The sequence below is a fragment of the Homo sapiens genome, chromosome 8, assembly GCF_000001405.40.
Source record: "Homo sapiens chromosome 8, GRCh38.p14 Primary Assembly".
Classification (NCBI taxonomy): Eukaryota; Metazoa; Chordata; class Mammalia; order Primates; family Hominidae; genus Homo; species Homo sapiens.
The window spans coordinates 7,354,437-7,373,041 of record NC_000008.11 but is presented as its reverse complement, the minus strand read 5'-3'; the positions used below and the strand labels follow the sequence as shown (position 1 = coordinate 7,373,041).

Sequence of the window (18,605 nt, the reverse complement as noted above, 5' to 3'; positions counted from 1 at the left end):
AGTCTTTCTGTACCTCCTTAGGGATATTCATAGATAGAGGTGTTCTATGCACGCAAAATTGCTTTTATGGGAAGACTGAGAATCCTTTTTTTTTATTGGACAGCCAGTTCATTAGAATGATGTGGGTGCACAGTTTTGGCCAGAAAACCTTGTTAAATGGGGACATAAGCTACATTTTGGCAAAAGATGAAAGTTTATGAACAAACAACCATTTATATTGTTACAATAAATTAGACTGTGTTGAGAAACCAGTTGGTTTCATTAATGACCAGACATTTTGTTAGTGAACACTTCCCAGACTTTACTAGCCCTGCTAAGAATTAATCACCCCACTTGCTCCTGGTCTGAAACTCCAAAGTGCTTTGTTTATGTTACAGTACTTACTGCCTTGTATGTTAGATTAGTGAATGTATATTTGCCTCATCCACTACTGTATGAACTTCTTGCTTGCTAGGACAAGGCTATATTCCTCAGAACTGAGGAGGGAGTTGAATCATGTGGCTATTTATTCTCAAATCCTCTTCACCAAGTGGAACAAAACAACAGCGAAAGACCACCGCACGTGGAGGCAGGAGGTTTGGATTTGGGTTCTAGATCTCTAGATCTATTACTAACTGGAGGTATGGATATAGTCAGGAAAATTGTCTTCCTTAGGTGCTTCCTTGATAGCACCTATAAAGGTCGAGATCTATTGGATCTAGATCAGGGGATTCTCAATCATTACTATGCAGAAAATCAACTGGGAGAGTTACTTTGCAATACAGATGCTTAGTTCCATCTCATGATATTTTTATTTTTTTTTAAATTGGTCAAGTATTTTTCATTAAATAATGTAAACTTTCTTAGTCTACATCTAACAAAACTCCCACCAGCATACAAATACATTGAATGATATTAGCAGCAGAATCTTTAAATAAAGTAACCATACACAACTATGAGGCCACCTTATTTTCATTGCTTATTATTTCATGCTATTTGTCACCATTGTCATCATAATCAGCCTCATCCTACATTGTTGAACACCCATCATGGACCATATGGCATAAACATTTTTCCTACTCATAAAGGAGCATATGTTCTCTATATGTATATAAAATTAATGTCTGAACAAAGTAGCTTAAACAAGGCAGAAGTTTGTTTCTCCCTCACTTAAATCTATAGTTCTACCTACCATGGCTAGTACAGATACCTGCCAAATTCATTAGGGATGCAGGCCCCTTCCAGCACTCTGTTCTGCTATAGTGTAAAAGAGGCTCTAGTTTGGCTGCTAAATCCCCACCTATCATTTTTGAATTCCAGGCAGCAGGTAGGAAAAAAGCCAAGAGAAAAAAACAAGGGAACATCTACCCCTCCTTTTAAGTTTTTTAACCAACCCCCTCTTGTTTTATTTTAACCGACTTTGTTGAGCTATGATTACATTTAAAAAGCTGTACATATTTAAGGTGTACATCTCAGTGAGCTTGGGGATAAGTATACACCATGAACACATCACTACCATCAAGATTATAACCATATCCTTCACCTCCCTAAGTCCCCTCCCCTTTATTATTATTATTTTTTTGGTAAGAAATATTGGTAAGAATACAAAATCTACCCTTTTAGCAAATTTTAAGTATGTAATACAGTATTCTTAGCTGTAAGCACTATGCTGTAAACGAGACCTCCAGAACTTACTTACGTGGTATATCTGAAACTTTGTGCTCTAACCACATCTACCCATTTCCCCAGCACCACGGCCCCTGGCAACCACCATTCTACTCTCTGCTTTTGTGAGTTTGTCGATTTTAGATTTCAAATACAAGTGAAATCATATAGTAATTGTCATTCTGTGGTTGGCCTATTTCATATAACCTAATGCCCTCCAAGTCCATCCATGTTGTCACAAATGACAGGGTTTCGTTATTATGTAACACTGAACAATATTCCATTGCATATATGTATTAGCCATTTATCCTGATACTCTCCCTCCACCTGCCTCCCAACAGGCCCCAGTGTGTGTTGTTCCCCTCCTAATATCCATGTGTTCTCACCGTTCTGCTCCCACTTGTAAGTTAGAACGTGCAGTGCTTGGTTTTCTGTTCGTGGGTTAGTTTGCTGAGAATAATGGCTTCCAGCTCCATTCATGTTCCTGCAAAGAACATGATCTCATTCCTTTTTATGGCTGCATAGTATTCCATGGTGTTTACATACCACATTTTCTTTATCCAGTCTGTCACTGATGGACATTCGGGTTGATTCCATGTCTTTGCTGTTGTGAATAGTGCTGCAATGAACATATGTGTGCATGTATCTTTATAATAGAATGATTTATATTCCTTTGGGTATATACCCAGTAATGGGATTGCTGGGTCAAGCGGTATTTCTGGTTGTAGGTCTTTGAGGAATCACCATACTGTCTTCCGCAATAGTTGAACTAATTTACATTCCCACCAACAGTGTAAAAGTGTTCTTATATCTCAGCAGCCTCATCAGCAGGTAGTTTTATTTAAAAAATTTTTGAGAAACCTTCATACTGTTATCTGAAATGGACATAGTAATTTGTATTTCCACCACAAGTATACAAGGGTTATCTTTTCTCCACAACCTCACTAATACTTGTTATACATCTTTTTGATAATAGCTATTCTATCAGGTGATATTTCATGGTGGTTTTTATTTACATCCCCCTGATGATTAGAGATGGTAAGAATTTTTTTCATATATTTGTTGGCCATTTGTATCTGTTCTTCTGGGAAATGTCTACTCAGATCTTTGCATATTTTTTTTTTTTTGAGATGGAGTCTCGGTGTGTCACACAGGCTGGAGTGCAGTGGCGTGATCTCGGCTTGCTGCAAGCTCCGCCTCCTAGGTTCACGTCATTCTCCTGCCTCAGCCTCCCAAGTAGCTGGGACTACAGGCACCCGGCACCATGCCCAGCTAATTTTTTGTATTTTTTTTTTTCCAGTGGAGACAGGGTTTCACGGTGTTAGCCAGATCTTTGCCCATTTTAAAAAAAAATTCAACTTTTATTTTAGATTCAGGAGATGTATGTGCAGGTTTTTACACTGGCACATTGTGTGATGCTGAGGAGTATGAATGATCTTGTAACCCAGATAGAAAACATAATACCCAATAGATAGTTTTTCAGGCCTTTGTCCCCACCTTCCCTTCCCCCTCTAGTAGTTCCCAGTATCTGTTGTTCTGATCTTTACGTCCATGTGTAACCAATGCTTTGTTCTCACTTATAACTAAGAACATATGGTATTTGGTTTTCTCTTCCTGCATTATTTTAGAATAATGGCCTCCAGCTGCATCCATGTTGGTGCAAAGGACATAAATTTTTTATGGTTGTGTAGTATTCCATGGTGTACATATACTGTATTTTCTCTATCCACTGTAACATTGATGGGCATCTAGGTTGATTCCATGTCTTTGCTATTGCAAATAATGCTATAATAAATATATGAGTGCACACATCTTTATGGTAGAACAATTTATTTTCTTTTGGATACAAGGGTCAGTCCCCATGGCTGCTGTCAAGGGCCAGTGTTGAGTGCCTGCAGCTTTTCCAGGCTCAGGGTGCAAGCTGACAGTGGATCTACCATTCTCGGGTCTGGAGGATGGTGGCTGTCTTCTCAGAGCTCCACTAGGCAGTGCCCCAGTGTGGACTCTGTGGGGGTTCCAACGCCACATTTTCCCTCTGCACTGCTGTAGTAGACATTTGCCATGAAGTCTCCACCCCAGCAGACTTCTATTGGACATACAGGCTTTCCCATACATCTTTAGAAATCCAGGCAAAGGCTTCTGATATGGTTTGGCTCTGTGTCCCCACCCAAATCTCACCTCAAATTTTACTCCCATAATTCCCACATGTTGTGGGGTGACCCAGTGGCGATAACTGAATCATGGGGGCAGTTTCTCCCATGCTGTTCTCGTGGTAGTGAATAAGTCTCACGAGTTGTGATGGTTTGATAAGGGGAAACCAGTTTTGCTTGGCTGTCATTCTCTCACTTGCCTGCTGTGATGTAAGACATGCCTTTTGCCTTCTGCCTCCCCCCAGCCATGTGGAACTGTAAGTCCAATTAAACCTCTTTCTTTTGTAAATTGCCCAGTCTCAGGTATACCTTTATCAGCAGTGTACTCCTGTACCTTGTGCACCTGCAGGTTTAATACCTCATGGAAATTGCCAAGGCTTGTGGCTTGCACCCTCTAAAGCGGTGGCCCAAACAATGTCTGGGGCCCTTTTAGCCATGGCTGGAGCTGGAGTGGCTGAGACCTAGATTGCTGTGAGCACTGTCCTGTGCTTGCACTGGGCCCAGCTCACAAAATGATTCTTCCCTCCTAGGCCTCCAGGCCTTTGAGGAGAGGGGCTGCCACCAGCCAAGGTCTCTAAAATGTCTTTGAGGCCCTTTCTTCATTTTCTTCTATTAGCATCTGCTTTCCTTTTAGTTACCCAAATTTCTGCAGCCTGCTTGAATTTCAGACAATACCAGTGGTCTTACAAGTACTACATGACCCCTATAATACTTCCTGACTTCATTTCTGCAATGTATTTTATTTTTTTACATCATCATGAACATTGAAACTTTTTATATCTATTCGCCTTCCATTTGTTTTCAAGTCCAGTTTACCTCCAAAGAATTTTAGAATATAGAGTCTCCAGAAGACTCTAGTTTGTCTGGTTTCTTGTTGTATCCCTTGACTGCGAATGCTTTCTAGTACATATAATACACTCAAAAGTACTTATGATTAAAAAAAGGAATTAATGTTCATATTTTTCCTTCAAAATAGCCTTAACTCTTTGGTTTCCAACTTTATGTGAGGGTTTTTAGTAGTAGTCTCAAAAATCCAATCAGATTGAACAGGGAGTGTCTCCAGAATGAAGTTTTTGATTAGATTCAGTGTCTGTGCAATCAGGGCATGTCTCTTGGAATGTAGTGGTGATTCGGTTTATTAATTTTTTTTTCATATATAAGGGGAAGCCAATCAGAGGATGCATTTTCCCAGAGAAGGAGCATCTGAAGACTTTAAGACCTTGGGGAAAGAGTCTTGCTGCTTGCTTGTGGGACTTGCCTTGGAAGGTAGATAAGTTCACTGCATCCTCCAACTTTTTATTTTTGGTGAGTTCTCCAAGCACTGAGATGTGAACTGGCCTCATTCCCTTACAATGATACTGTTACCAGTAGAAGAGATTCCAGTTACTGGCAGCATAGCTGCATGGGTCCATAAGCAACTTCAGTCCTTGCCTCCTAGAAGAAAGAATTCGACCGAAGGGCATACAGTGGAAAAAGAGACTGAGCGGTAAGTTTCAGAGCAGGAGTGGAAGTTTATTTAAAAAGGCTTTAGAACAGGAAGGAGAGGAAAATTCTCTTGGAAGAGACCCGAGCAGATGCCTGAAGGTCCAAGAAAGAAAAGAGAAGAGCCTTTAACCTTGATCCTGCGTTGGGTTTTCCTCTTTCCCGTGATTCGTCCTTTAGGGAGAGTTTCCGGCATGCACAGTGCTTTCCTTACCCTTTGAAATTGAGCATGCACGTTGTGTTTAGGGAGTTATATGCATGTCCATCTGAAGCTTTCTTTCCTTTTCCGGTGGAGCGTGCCCCCGGAAGATTATGCTTTGCCATTTTTGTCTCTTAACATGCACGCCCAAGAAGTTGCTTCTTCCTGGGGTCTGCATTTAACTCACATTTTTGATGTTAACAGGTGTAGACCATCAGGAAACGGCCTCTCTCTGGTGCTGCCTAATTATCATTTTTAGAGAGGAAATGTGATAATTGACAGGCCATCACCTGACATTTCTAGTGGGTAGGGGAAGAGCCCTCTCCTGCCCTGCTCATGCTCTTCTACCTGTAACAAGACAAGCCTTGTATATCATTAGACATTTGTCCCATCAAGGCAGCATCTCATTATTACATTTTATTGTGTGAATTGTTACTTCACATTCTCATATTCTGTGTTCACTATTTGTGTGCCTTTTCCATTTTTGTTTTGACCATATCTCATTATTTTAACTGCCTCCTCCAAGATTCTAGATCTGTATTGGCCAAAATAGTAACTACTAGTCACATGTGACTATAAACTGTAAATAAATTATAATTAAATAACTAAATGGCATATCCTTAGTAGTAATAGCCAAAGTCGTGGCCAATCTAGAAATTCTGTAACTACATATGTGTGGTAGTTACTGCATTGGACAATGCAGATATAGAGAATTTCTTTCATCACAGAAAATCGTGTTGGGCATGTTGGCTACCACTTATTTTTAAATTCTATTTGTGTGGTTTATAGTTAAATTATATTCTGCTTCTCTATATTCATCTCCTTTCTCAGATTTTCTCAAGCAATGTTTAAATTTCATTCATTTACCTTATTGAGGTAAGTACTTAGATTATTTTTTAAAAATAACGTACAGCAAATAATTTGTCCATGGATATTGTTTTAGCTTTATTGTATTGGTACTTTTACGTACTATACTCAGGTATTATTATTTTTCATCATGTACTTTAAAAATTGCGCCAAGTTTCTTTAAAATAGATTTCTCCCTTGATTTTCAGATGTTAGATTCTGTCTTCTATTGCTGTATTTTAATTTAATTTTATTTTATTGTATCTAAATATGTTGCATATTCCTTTTTTTAAAATGTGAGATTTTTCCTCTCTCCTGTTACACAAACTTTGTATGCAGTGTTCATTATGCACTTTAAAAATAAATGTTTTGTTTCAGGGCATGGTGCTTTCACACATAAAACCTTAGAATAATTTTAAATTCCATTCCACTTTCACCATTCCTGAACTGCTTTGAATATATTGGATGTTGGAAGCCATGAGAGGCTTGCAATCCTGTCAAGATAATAGGATTTTCCATTTATAGTGTAATCTGACTTGCAATCCCGTCAAGATAATAGGATTTTCCATTTATAGTGTAATCTGATATATATTCGTTTTGGTTTCATACTTTAAAAAAATCTATTCTCTTTTACTCTGTGGTGATCTTTGCTTTTCTATTTGTTCATTGCTAGAATGTCAGCTGCTGTTTCCCTAGCACCTGAGATGTCATTCAACATTGTATAGCACTGGTGTTGAGAAGTGAGAGAATCTACTAAATAATAGCACTTTTCGAGACTGCAGTTCTGAATTAAAGGAAGGGAAAGGACAGGCAAAACAATATAGACATCAGTTATTTTTACTGAAGATCTGTTGGAGAACATGGTTTTGTTGTCCAGGAACTTAAGACCTAATAATGCATTCCTAATACTTCACTAAGTTGTGTCTAAATAGCCGTGAAAGGGCTAGGAAGTCACAAGTCGGCCTCTTAATTTTTACGGGTGTCCTTAAAATATTAAGGTAATATTGAGGATGCAGAATGGTTCCTTCCTCTTGACTTTTTAAGAGATCTGGGCCGGGCACGGTGGCTCACGCCTGTAATCCCAATACTTTGAGAGGCGGAGGCTGGCGGATCACCTGAGGTCAGGAGTTTTAGACCAGCGCGACCAAAATGGAGAAACCACGTCTAGTACAAAATTAGCCGAGCACGATGGCGCAAGCCTGTCATCCCAGCTACTCAGGAGGCTGAGGCTGGAGAATTGCTTGAACCCGGGAGGTGGAGGTTGCGGTGAGCCGAGATCGCGCCACTGCACTCCAGCCTGGGCAACAAGAGTGATACTCCGCCAAAAAAAAAAAAAAAAAAAAAATAGAGAGAGACATCTGGAGGGAGATACTAAGCTGTGCAGGCTCTCATCTTGAAGTCACCAAATACATAAGTTGTTATTTCTGCTCTGGTGAAAAGTTTGTCAATACATTTTTTTCCACGAATTAATGAAAATTTTAGACCCATAACATAAGTTTTTAAGTTTCTCCTAAAGATTGCTTGTGTATGTATGTGTTTTTAAATATATTTAATCTCTACATCTTGAAATAGTTTTTATAGATTCCACACAAGAGTCCTTTATGAAATAAGTATGCTTTAACTTTCTTATAATATTTGTCCTTTCTTTGTCCCTGGCACAGTCTGTATATGACCAGTTAAATGACTTTTCATTCATGTTTGGGTTATAATTACACACAAATATTCTCTAAAGCCCAAATCTTATTTTGATATTCGAGGAAGAGTTTACTTGGTAATAATATTAAGGGTTACAGCTGGTTTCACTGAAGCTTTGTAGGCATTCTCTAATATCTTATTTTTTTGAAGGAATAGCTGTTCTGCTTGAATTATAGACTACATAATACATGTACTGTCAGGTACATTCATGGAAGGGACAGGCAGATGGAGTCATATGTTACTGGAATCTTGATGAACAGATGTAGAAAATAGTCCAAGGAATAAGAAAAAAGTTGATATTGAAAAGTGCTTGTTGAAGTCTGTAAATGTGCATTAAATGTGGCAGTAAAAATAGACACAATGATGTTTGGGACCTGGGGTCTAAATACTGGAGTCCCCAGAATCATAGAGAACGTTGGTTAGGGGAGTAATTTTGTCAAAAAGCAAGAAGAGGCAGCGACACGCAGAATATAATTAAAAGTATTGCTGGGTCATTTTCTAATTTTGTAATTTTGTCATATTTTTCAAACTCTGTTGATCATTTATTAAATTGGTAAATAAACTGTAATCAGCAGGGTTATTATGAGGGTTAAATAAGGAAATATATGTACATCTGTAAGCACAATGTCACAATTAATACAAAGTTACTCTTTTTATTTTTCCTGGACTTCATGTACAAATGGGTCAGTAAATTTTTTGTTTATGACACATAATTATCATTTGTACATAAAATATATTTAATTATTTTTATATTTTTAGCAGGGAAATAATACATGCATGTTTCCCCCTGTCTCAAACACATACATTCATATAAACATATGCACCTATATATCTACATATCTATGTACGAATGTATACATGGACATCGGTATTTCTCAGCAAATATGTATCATGATAATCAGAGATATTGCAACTAACAAAGACTAATATAAACCATGATTGCAAGAATTTTAGATACCACGTTAGTAAAATATCAGATTGAGCTGCTAAATTTCTCCCTCTCCTAAGTCATTTTGTATTTTCTGAGCATCCTAGAGGATTGTGACTGTATACACAGGAGAGAAACACCATGACTCGGGGTACTCCTGCTAATTTCTGATGCAGGAGATTTTAAGGGCTATATTAGCAGGATGGGAGTGTTGACCCTCTAAGTGAAATAAATCCCTCAATTGATTATCCCCATCCTAAAACAGATTTTTTTTTTTGAGACAGAGTCTCGCTCTGTCACCCTCGCTGGAGTGCAGTGGTGGGATCTCGGCTCACTGTAATCTCTGCCTCCTGGGTTCAAGAGATTCTCCTGTTTCAGCCTCCTGAGTAGCTGGGATTACAGGCAAGCACCACCATACCCAGTTAATTTTTGTATTTTTACTACAGACGGGGTTTCACCATGTTGGCCAGGCTAGTCTCGAACACTTGACCTCAGGTGATCCACGTGCCTTGGCCTCCCAAAGTGCTGGGATTACAGGCGTGAGCCACCACACTCCACCCTAAAACAGATTCTTACTTGATTATTTCCAAGTTCCAAGGGGAAATACAAAAGTCAGAGTTGAGTGAAAATAAAAGTGGAGTAAGGCTTCAGAAGGCTGTGGTGGGTGTTGGAGAAACGTTGCTAGGGCATAAAGCTAGGATAATAAAATCTGAGAAATCCCAGTGTTTATCTATAGGTGGAAATCATATTCCACATGTGGATGGAGTCAGGGATCCCTGTGTTTTAAAATCAGTGAGGGAATTGAATATCTGGACTTGTGCCAATTAACATACAAAACTCCGTGCTTTTGATGTTCTCATTCACAAGATATCTGTGTTCCTTCTTTATTAGCAACCATAGTCATAGGCTTCTTAATTTTGACCACGGGAAAAGAGGAGAGGCCTCTGCATGTTTGTGTCTGTTGGTTAGGCTGTGGTGCAGCTGGTGTCACACTTCAGTGAAAGTCTGGCTTTTCATCACAGATTGATCTGAAAATTGTGCACAAGACTGGTGTCTCACATGTTCTTTCTCCAACCTCAGCTTTTCTTAGTGCCTAAAGTGTCTGCAAGTGGAAATCCAGAGGAAGACAGAGAGAAACTGAGTTCCTGACAATGCATTCACTAGTGAGTAGGGGATGCCTCTTTCTACTGAAATTATACCCATATTGCTGGCAAATGGGCAGTTTTCTCCAATTTGCATGGGTGTTTCATTTTTATTCTTTTTTTGTTTGTTTGTTTTTATGATGTAAAATCCACCCTGCCTGGGTGTTCCAAATGCAATCAGGAGGCTTTCAGGTATCTGGCCCCCCATTAAGTTTTCTCAGGACTCTAGGTTGGGTATCGTGTGTCAAAGACTCCGAAATTATCAATATAATTTCTAATATTACACTACTTTATTCCAGCCCCTATTAAGGCTATTTACAAAAAAAGATATGAGAGGTTTCATTTATATATTTCTTTTTCTTCTATCCATCCTATAATCTCATAGGGAAATAATTGACCCATTAACTATACTGTTGCCTGAAATAGACTTAGGATTGTGATTAATGCAGGCGATAGAGATGAGTGAAGAGCAGAACATCACAGCCCAACAATGAGTCTGATGTTCTAGCAGCTGAGTTCAATAAATCCAGTGTGATAGGACTTGGACAAGAGCTGTGCAGTGTTGAGGGAAAAGAAGAGTTTGATAAAATGTATTTGAGCTTTTAAAAACTTTGTGAAAGGACAACTAAAGAAGTCATTATTATTCTTATCCCCATTCACTTTACCTTTTGGTAATTAACCTTTTTGCCTTCTGGTAAGTAAAAGTAACATATAAGAAATATAATTATTTAATTATGGTTGCACACTCAGAAGAAGGAATATAGTAGATAGAGTACAATTTAGGGTTCTGTGGAAATGCTTTATAAGGGCTGGTTAGAAAAAAAACAATGAAGAGGCTTTTTAAATCTTTGAACAAGTGTAGTGAGAAGGTAAATTTAAAAGAGAAACGATGATAACTGATGTTTGGATTGCCGAGAGAAAGTTGAGAACAGAAAGCTTCATATCACAGGAATCATCGGACTAAGATTTCCTCAGTATAGCAGCCTCAGCGGTCTTGTCTTGTGCTGCTAGACTGTCTTTAAGCCTTGTCATGAATACCTGAATTATATAACATTAGAGAGACTATATATATGAATTGAATCCTATATTCTGCATAAAGCTTGTTCAGTTCTGAAGAATGCTGGAGTCTGGGTCATTACTTTCTAACTTTTTAATGAATAAGGGACCAATGACTTATATTTAATAAATATTTGCTAGATAGGAAACACGTTTTCTATTAGTTCATTAGATTATTCAAAACACATCATAGGTCTTTTAACCATTTGATTGGTGAGAAACCTGTGGTTCATCTGGAGAAATAATTTATTTCATCAGAGTCATGCTTAAGAAGTAGTAAATCATGGTTATTTGCCTTGTGACAAATCTGTAATTTACTTGAAATTCATGGTAAATTTCATTTTATTTATGAATGTTCAAGTGAAAATTTTATAATCAGTTATGTAGAGGTGATTAACACATTACTGAAAAATATCTGGGTTATATTATGCCACACCTCATGTGATATTTCTTTATAGTAAACTTTAATGGATTCAGAGTGGGTATATCTCTGTGAGTGAATCTGAAAGGCAGATACCAGCTTAGTACTGAGAATGAACTGGCTGGAACCCAAAACACTGAGTATTCTGCATACCCAGCTGCTAGCTATGTCATCTCAGCCTTCCTCTTCCGGACATTGAAAGGAATTTCTCTGTCTAAACTAAAATGTCTGTGATGTTTTAGAAGAAACTGACTTTTGAAGATGTAGCTATTGACTTCACCCAGGAAGAGTGGGCCATGATGGACACATCCAAGAGAAAGCTGTACAGAGATGTGATGCTGGAAAATATCAGTCACCTGGTGTCCCTCGGTGAGTCCCTGAACATTCATGTACATATGTAGAGACACATTCACTCATTCATTCAATAAGTGTTAAAACAGCTTCCCCATATCTCACTCTAATCTCTTCTCTGATTCTCTCACAGATCTCATCTGAAAAAGGTTTGAACTCTCTAAATCTATCTGAAATAAATATCTTTCTTTTTATTTTATTTTATTTAGTTTGTCACTCAATTAGAATGTAGTCTTGACAAGGATTTCATGGTTTCTTTGGTACTCAGTCTCTAATACTCATAACAGACCTGGGAACTTAATGAATGTTTTCAGTGTATTAAATTAAATATTTTCTAAATAACTCTTCTGCTTTAGTCTATGCTTAGGCTGAGACCAATTAGGGAAAACAATAGCAATATCTTTTCCATATAGAACACCAATTATTTTTGTAAATCGAATGTTTTTTTTTGTTGTGCGTGAGAATAATAGTAAACACACTGTGCAGAGATATAATTACTCTCTTTCTGAAAAGATTGTGTATTATGCATTGCGTCTTGGAACTTAGGCATGGACTCAGCATTCATAGGTCCTGACTGTTTTGAATTTCCTTTTCCTGATGGACCTTTGGTTTGGATTTATTTTGTAGTCTCATATTGGGTCAGAAAAATCCTGGGGAGTTTTCTGTGTTCTAGGTCTTGTGGCCTGAGCTGACCTTCACTGTTTTTATTCTTCCTTGATAGCCTGCATTACACTTGGTGATAATGCACATTTATTGACAGTGAACTCAAAACACATGTATTCTTTCCACTAACAGGGTACCAGATAAGCAAATCCTATATAATTTTGCAGCTGGAGCAAGGAAAAGAGCTGTGGAGGGAAGGAAGAGTATTTCTTCAAGACCAGAATCCAAGTAAGCAACAGGGTCCTGTGCTCTAATAGGAGGAGGTGCTTTGTCAATGAATAATATCAGTTGAATATTAATTAGTGGTTTTATTAAATGAGTGATAATTTCTAAAATGTAGGTTAGGCTACTGGAGCAGAATTCCTTAGATGTTATTATCATTTTGTTCATGTGTCAGATGCTACTCTTGTGTCCTCTTTTTTTTCTTTTCTTTCACTTTTGGGAAAAGGATAATTCATGTACTTGGCTGGGGTTAAACTTTCATATGCTGACTCTTTTCCTGATACCCCTGTGAAGACTATCCCTCTTTTTACCTGCCTGATATCTCATCTCCATTTTAACTCTTTTCACATTTTAATTTTAAAAATATTTTCTAATTGCTGACACTGTACAATCTATTTCTTCTATTCAAGTAGTTTCTTCATTTGACACACTTGCCACATCTACGTGTCAATTTTTGAAAAAAGTACGTGGGCTTTGGGGCTTTTCAAACAATTTTATTACCATAATACCAATGTAACAATTTATTTTTCAATTATTTCAGACAGGGAAAGTGCCCTTAAGAAAACACACATGATATCCATGCATCCTATCACCAGAAAAGACGCATCCACCAGTATGACAATGGTAAGTTTTATAGCTGTGTACACCAGTCATCTAAGTTAAAGACATGTTAATGGATTAAGTTAGTAATGAAGCACAATCACCTGAGTGTAATTAAGCTGGCATTAAGTGTTTTCTAAGCAAAAAAAAAAAATTGGATACTTTGAATTTAGTGAATACATTGACCTGTGTTCTAAACCATAACATGAGATCTCTAAAATAGAACAAGTGCATATACATTGCTCATGCCCAGTCATCGAAAGATATTGATATCAACACAATTATGCAATAACGCTGCAGTTGAGATGTTACAGAAGAGAACATATCTGTGTCTGCAGGAGATAATGTGTATGCAATTGTCAATCGAGAAAAATGACAAGACAAGTCTCAATCATTTTAGGAGATTTATTTGCCAAAGTTAAGGACATGCACCCAGGGGACAGGTGTATGCCTTTCTCCAAAGATGATTTTGAAGGCTCCAAATTTAAAGGGGAAAGGGTGGGATATTGAGAAGTACACAATTTTCATGTAAAAGGTGGGTAGAAAAAATAGTCATTCATGCATTTTTCTGGCTCAGTGAATCTGGATTTTTTTACATAAGATGACATAAACAAATGAGGCAGAGGAATAATGCAGGAAAGCTGCATTTTACATAAGACAACATAGGCAAAATGGGGCAGGGAGACAATCAATATGCATTTGTGCCTGGTGAACTGGGGATGACTGCACTTGTAAAGAAAAGTTATCAGTTTGCATTGCCATGGTGCAATTTTAACAGCTCATGAGGAATTTCCTCATGGGCAAAATATGGGGGAGGCGTGTAGCTTTTCATCTTGTAGCCATATTATTTAGGAACCAGAAGGGGGAGGCAGGTTTGTGTGACCCAGTTCCCAGCTTGATTTTTCCCTTTGGTTAAATGAGTTTGGGGTCCCAAAATTTAATTTCCTTTCACACAAGAAACATTGGAAAGCTTTCAACTGGGGTCTACCACTGAATGGTTGGTCTAGGATTCAAAGGTAGTGAAATGAATGTATAGATATATGTGGGTAAACCATTAAGAGCTTTTAATATTTGCCCCAAAGGAGAACTCTCTCATTCTGGAGGATCCTTTTGAATGTAATGATTCGGGAGAAGATTGCACTCGCAGTTCCACAATAACTCAGTGTTTGTTAACTCATAGTGGAAAGAAACCCTATGTCAGCAAACAGTGTGGAAAATCCCTTCGTAATCTTTTGTCCACTGAACCACATAAACAAATTCATACTAAAGGTAAATCATATCAGTGTAATCTATGTGAAAAGGCCTATACTAATTGCTTTCACCTTAGACGGCACAAGATGACTCACACTGGAGAGAGGCCATATGCATGTCATCTATGTAGAAAAGCCTTCACTCAGTGTTCTCACCTTAGAAGACACGAGAAAACTCACACGGGACAGAGACCATATAAGTGTCATCAATATGGGAAAGTCTTTATTCAATCCTTTAACCTTCAAAGACATGAGAGAACTCACCTTGGAAAAAAGTGTTATGAATGTGATAAAAGTGGGAAAGCCTTTAGTCAAAGCTCTGGCTTTAGAGGAAACAAAATAATTCACACTGGAGAGAAACCACATGCTTGTCTTCTATGTGGGAAGGCCTTCAGTCTGTCTTCCAACCTTAGATGACATGAGAGAACACGCACTGGAGAAAAGCCATATGAATGCCATTTATGTGGGAAAGCCTTCAGACAATGTACTAATCTTAAAGAGCATCAGAAAATTCACCCTGGAGAGAAAATTATAAACTTCTTCAGAACATATTCTGACTTTAGATGACACGGTGTTAGGAATGACAAAGGTAAGGAATGTGGAAGAGACTTCAGCTGTAGTTGTAGCATCTAAACATGCCAAAGGACTCACATTTTGAAGAAATACTGTAATCAACATGGAAGATACTTCAGTTACCTTTATTCTTCAGTCCACATCAATAAATTCATATGGAAGAGAAATTGTATGACATGTATGTACCAAAGACTTGTTAGTGATCTGAGCATAAGTGACATGAGAGAGCTGAAACTGTCAATATAATCAACTAAAAGTCTTCAGCAACAGCTATAACTTAAAACATGTGGGACTTTCAGGTAGAGAATCTCTAACTCTGCATTCAGTGTGAAAATGTTTTTATTTGCAATTTATTGTCAAATAACATGAGAAAACTTTACTTGGATGAACCCTTTATTTGTATTTTCTGTGAATGAACATTCAGCCAAGCACCAGGCTTGATGTTCACAAGAGAAGAGTGACAAAATGCTGCTAAAATGGAAAATAAGAGAGGAAAGCCTTCATGAGCTAAATAAGAAGGGAAAATCTTTCCAAGGGCAATGAATTCTCTTGGAATACCAAATACTTCTTACTGGAGAAGTTATGCAATGAAAAATCATGAGAAATCCTTTCTTCATAGAGCAACACATGTGGCACATGTGAGATTTCTCACTGGACAAAACATGGTTAGCATCTTGAAAGGAGAAAATTCTTTAGTGGTAATTCATTTCTTAGTTGACATTGAGTTTCTCACATTGAGGAGCTATCAAACTTGAAAATCACTGTGGAGAAACCTGATAGATTTCTCATCAGAAAAGTGAGTCAAGAAGTTGGACCCCTAGAAAAAACTCTTAACACATACTTTAGCAAAATAATTCAGAAATTTGAGAAAATATCTATTCATAAAAATGTGGCATGTAAATGCATAATAGCAAAGTGACCAGGGAATAAATTGCGTGCAGAATTATATAAGAAATCTCATTAAACTTTTCCAAAAGATCAATACTTACAAATATTGAAAGAATACAATCTGTTGTTGAAAAAACTTAGTATGTTGGCAAAGCCCTTGTTTCATTTATGCGGCCCTAACAAATGGATTTGCACCTGCACTCCTTGGGTGAGATTCTTGGTCGAGATTCTACCCCAACTTCTGAGTCTCCCCAGTCTTCAACAGCTCTTTCCTCACAGCTCACCTCCCTTTACTTCAACGTCCACTAAAACCACTTGTTTCCATCCAACCCTCGAGTTGACACACCAGGGATCTTCAGCCCCACTTGCTAGATTTCTCAGTGTGTCATTGCATAGATTTAGCAGGGAAATGGAGGCTGTATCAAAGACACCTTGTATATGCATTTGGGTGTCCGCAGCCCTTTCCTCTGTCTCTAGGCAGTTAACTGGGATCAGAGAATAAGGCAGCTCTTCTCTTCTATCCCTCAGAAGACTCTTGAAATTTTGTCCCTGGAGCCTCTCTAACTGGAAGTAGCAGTTCATCTCATAACACCCCACATTTTATTCTGGTAAGTCCTGAGTTATTACACAGAGACAGACACAGCTGTGCTCCTTTTACTGCAGTCCAGAAGATAAAACACCAGCATGATAAAACAGCCGAACCTGTCAGCCACCTTGCAAGCCTTTCCTATATTTGATTCAATGTACTTTTCCTGAAGCAAAATGAAAGTTCTCACAGAGGGGCCCTCCTCTGCCTTGTCCTCAGAATTGAAAAATGTATTGTCCGTGAAGGAGCCTCACCACTGAACCTAAAACTGAAGAGAAAATGTTTCCTGAATATTAAGTGGGATGACTTGAAATTTTGCCAAACAGGCACAATCTTAATACGATCGGCCTTACTAAGGCTAAATGGCCTTATCCATGGTTGAAGTTGACACATCATTATATTTTAAAATCTCTACAAGTGATTGATTTTACTCTGCAGCCAGGGTTTATGTCAAGTGTGAGGATAATGAGCAAGAAATTCAAGCCCTTGGCAAACTGGTTGGAGAGGCAAGGACTGTGTCCAGGCAGAGCTCATATCATTATTTATTGTTTAATCTATTTAATTAAATATGTAATTTACCCACAAACTGTGACTGACATTATATGTACTCCTGAACCACATTAAGATGTACTATTTGTGCTGTGAAATTCTATGGGATTTGACAAATGCATGGTGGCAGATCTCCAGCCATTATTAAAGCGTAACACAGAATGCTTCTCTTATTCAAGCTCGTCTTCCCTCCACATAGAGGGAATCAATCGGCTTTTGTATACTGATTTTTGAATTTGCTTCTTTATTTCCATCTTCTTTAATTAAAGCACAAGGTATCATACTCAATTTCCATTTGATCTTCCAAAAGAAAAGTACTGAATAATCTACACCTGAATTTCAGTGATTCAGACTCAGGTCCACCGCTAAGGCCAAACGTCCTGTGCTGCCACCTCATGGCCGACAGAGGGCAATGAAACCCATCTTTCCGGCCATGCAGGGCGCATGCGCGGTCTGCCTCCCGCGGCGGGCCGGGTCTCCAGGGAGGACCTGAGTTTTCTTCACCCATGGTCAGGGAAGCGCCATCGCCCTGGCTTTGAGGCTGGGGCCTCCGGGGAGGTTCCGGTAGGGGCTTTGAAGAGGCCGCTGTTTTTGCAAGGCCGAGACGGCGGGCCCTGCGCAGGCCGCCCTATTCCGCGCCCTCAGGGCGTCAGTATCCGCCTGAGGCCGGATACCCCCTCTGGGCCCGGATGCCCCCGCTGGCCCCGGAGCATCCTCGGCGCTGCCCTCCCAGAGCCCCGCAGAGGCTGAGGTGGCGCGGGGGCGGCCCCGGCTCCGCGAGAAGCGGCGGCAGCGAGGGCTGGAGGACCCGGGCTACGGGGCTCCGGGGCGTCTGGCCTGGTTGGGACTGAGCCCATCCAGGGACTGGGACTCTGGGATTCTGGTGTAGGTGGATCCGGGGCAGGCTCAGGACCAAGTCCCTCTCCTTCCACCAAGGAGCGCCCAGAGGCCGGCGGGAGCTCCAGGTTCACCTCCTCCTCCTCCAGGTGTTTACTTTTCCTTTATTTCTGTGAGGCCAGAAATTGCCGCCATCCTTCACATCGGTGAATCGGGACCCTAACACTCATTACCTCAGGTTTATTGTTATTGCCATTAACAGTGTTGGTGGCATTATCACTAAGATCATCATTGTTGTTATTATTGTCATTCATGATTATTAGCAGATGTGTTCATCATTTTGTCTCACTATGCATATATATATATTTGGGATTGGTTTTGTATGACGTTGAATTGAGCTTCTTTAATCTTGACCAGTGTTGTCAGATTTCTGAAGAGCATTCCGGAGGACATCTCCTGCCTTTCAGCGCAGCCACAGAATTTCGTGGGCACAGGAGAGCACCTAGAATATTCCCCTTTCATT

The 18,605-nt window shown here is 39.1% G+C and overlaps 1 protein-coding gene and 1 long non-coding RNA gene across 2 annotated transcripts in view, besides 2 other annotated features; both read left to right on the top strand.

Moving 5' to 3' along the window:
* Window positions 1-17,525, top strand: part of ZNF705G (zinc finger protein 705G) — a 30,042-nt gene extending 12,517 nt beyond the window's left edge. The window contains exons 3-7 of the mRNA NM_001164457.3: window positions 10,025-10,107; window positions 11,806-11,932; window positions 12,710-12,805; window positions 13,341-13,423; window positions 14,482-17,525. Of these exons, the coding sequence (NP_001157929.1) occupies window positions 10,096-10,107; window positions 11,806-11,932; window positions 12,710-12,805; window positions 13,341-13,423; window positions 14,482-15,066 (903 nt within the window). The 5' untranslated portion in view covers window positions 10,025-10,095 and the 3' untranslated portion in view covers window positions 15,067-17,525. The remainder of the gene's footprint in view (window positions 1-10,024; window positions 10,108-11,805; window positions 11,933-12,709; window positions 12,806-13,340; window positions 13,424-14,481) is intronic.
* Window positions 17,568-17,617: an enhancer, noted in NCBI's record as "active region_26961". NCBI's record gives its function as "activates an Ori minimal core promoter by ATAC-STARR-seq in GM12878 lymphoblastoid cells {active_cell/tissue: GM12878}" and the evidence as "EXISTENCE:reporter gene assay evidence [ECO:0000049][PMID:35858748]".
* FAM66B (family with sequence similarity 66 member B) overlaps window positions 17,679-18,605 on the top strand; it is a 56,620-nt gene continuing 55,693 nt past the window's right edge. Inside the window, exon 1 of the long non-coding RNA NR_027423.2 lies at window positions 17,679-18,231. This is a non-coding gene — a long non-coding RNA (family with sequence similarity 66 member B). The remainder of the gene's footprint in view (window positions 18,232-18,605) is intronic.
* Window positions 17,878-18,037: a silencer, noted in NCBI's record as "silent region_18890". NCBI's record gives its function as "represses an Ori minimal core promoter by ATAC-STARR-seq in GM12878 lymphoblastoid cells {active_cell/tissue: GM12878}" and the evidence as "EXISTENCE:reporter gene assay evidence [ECO:0000049][PMID:35858748]".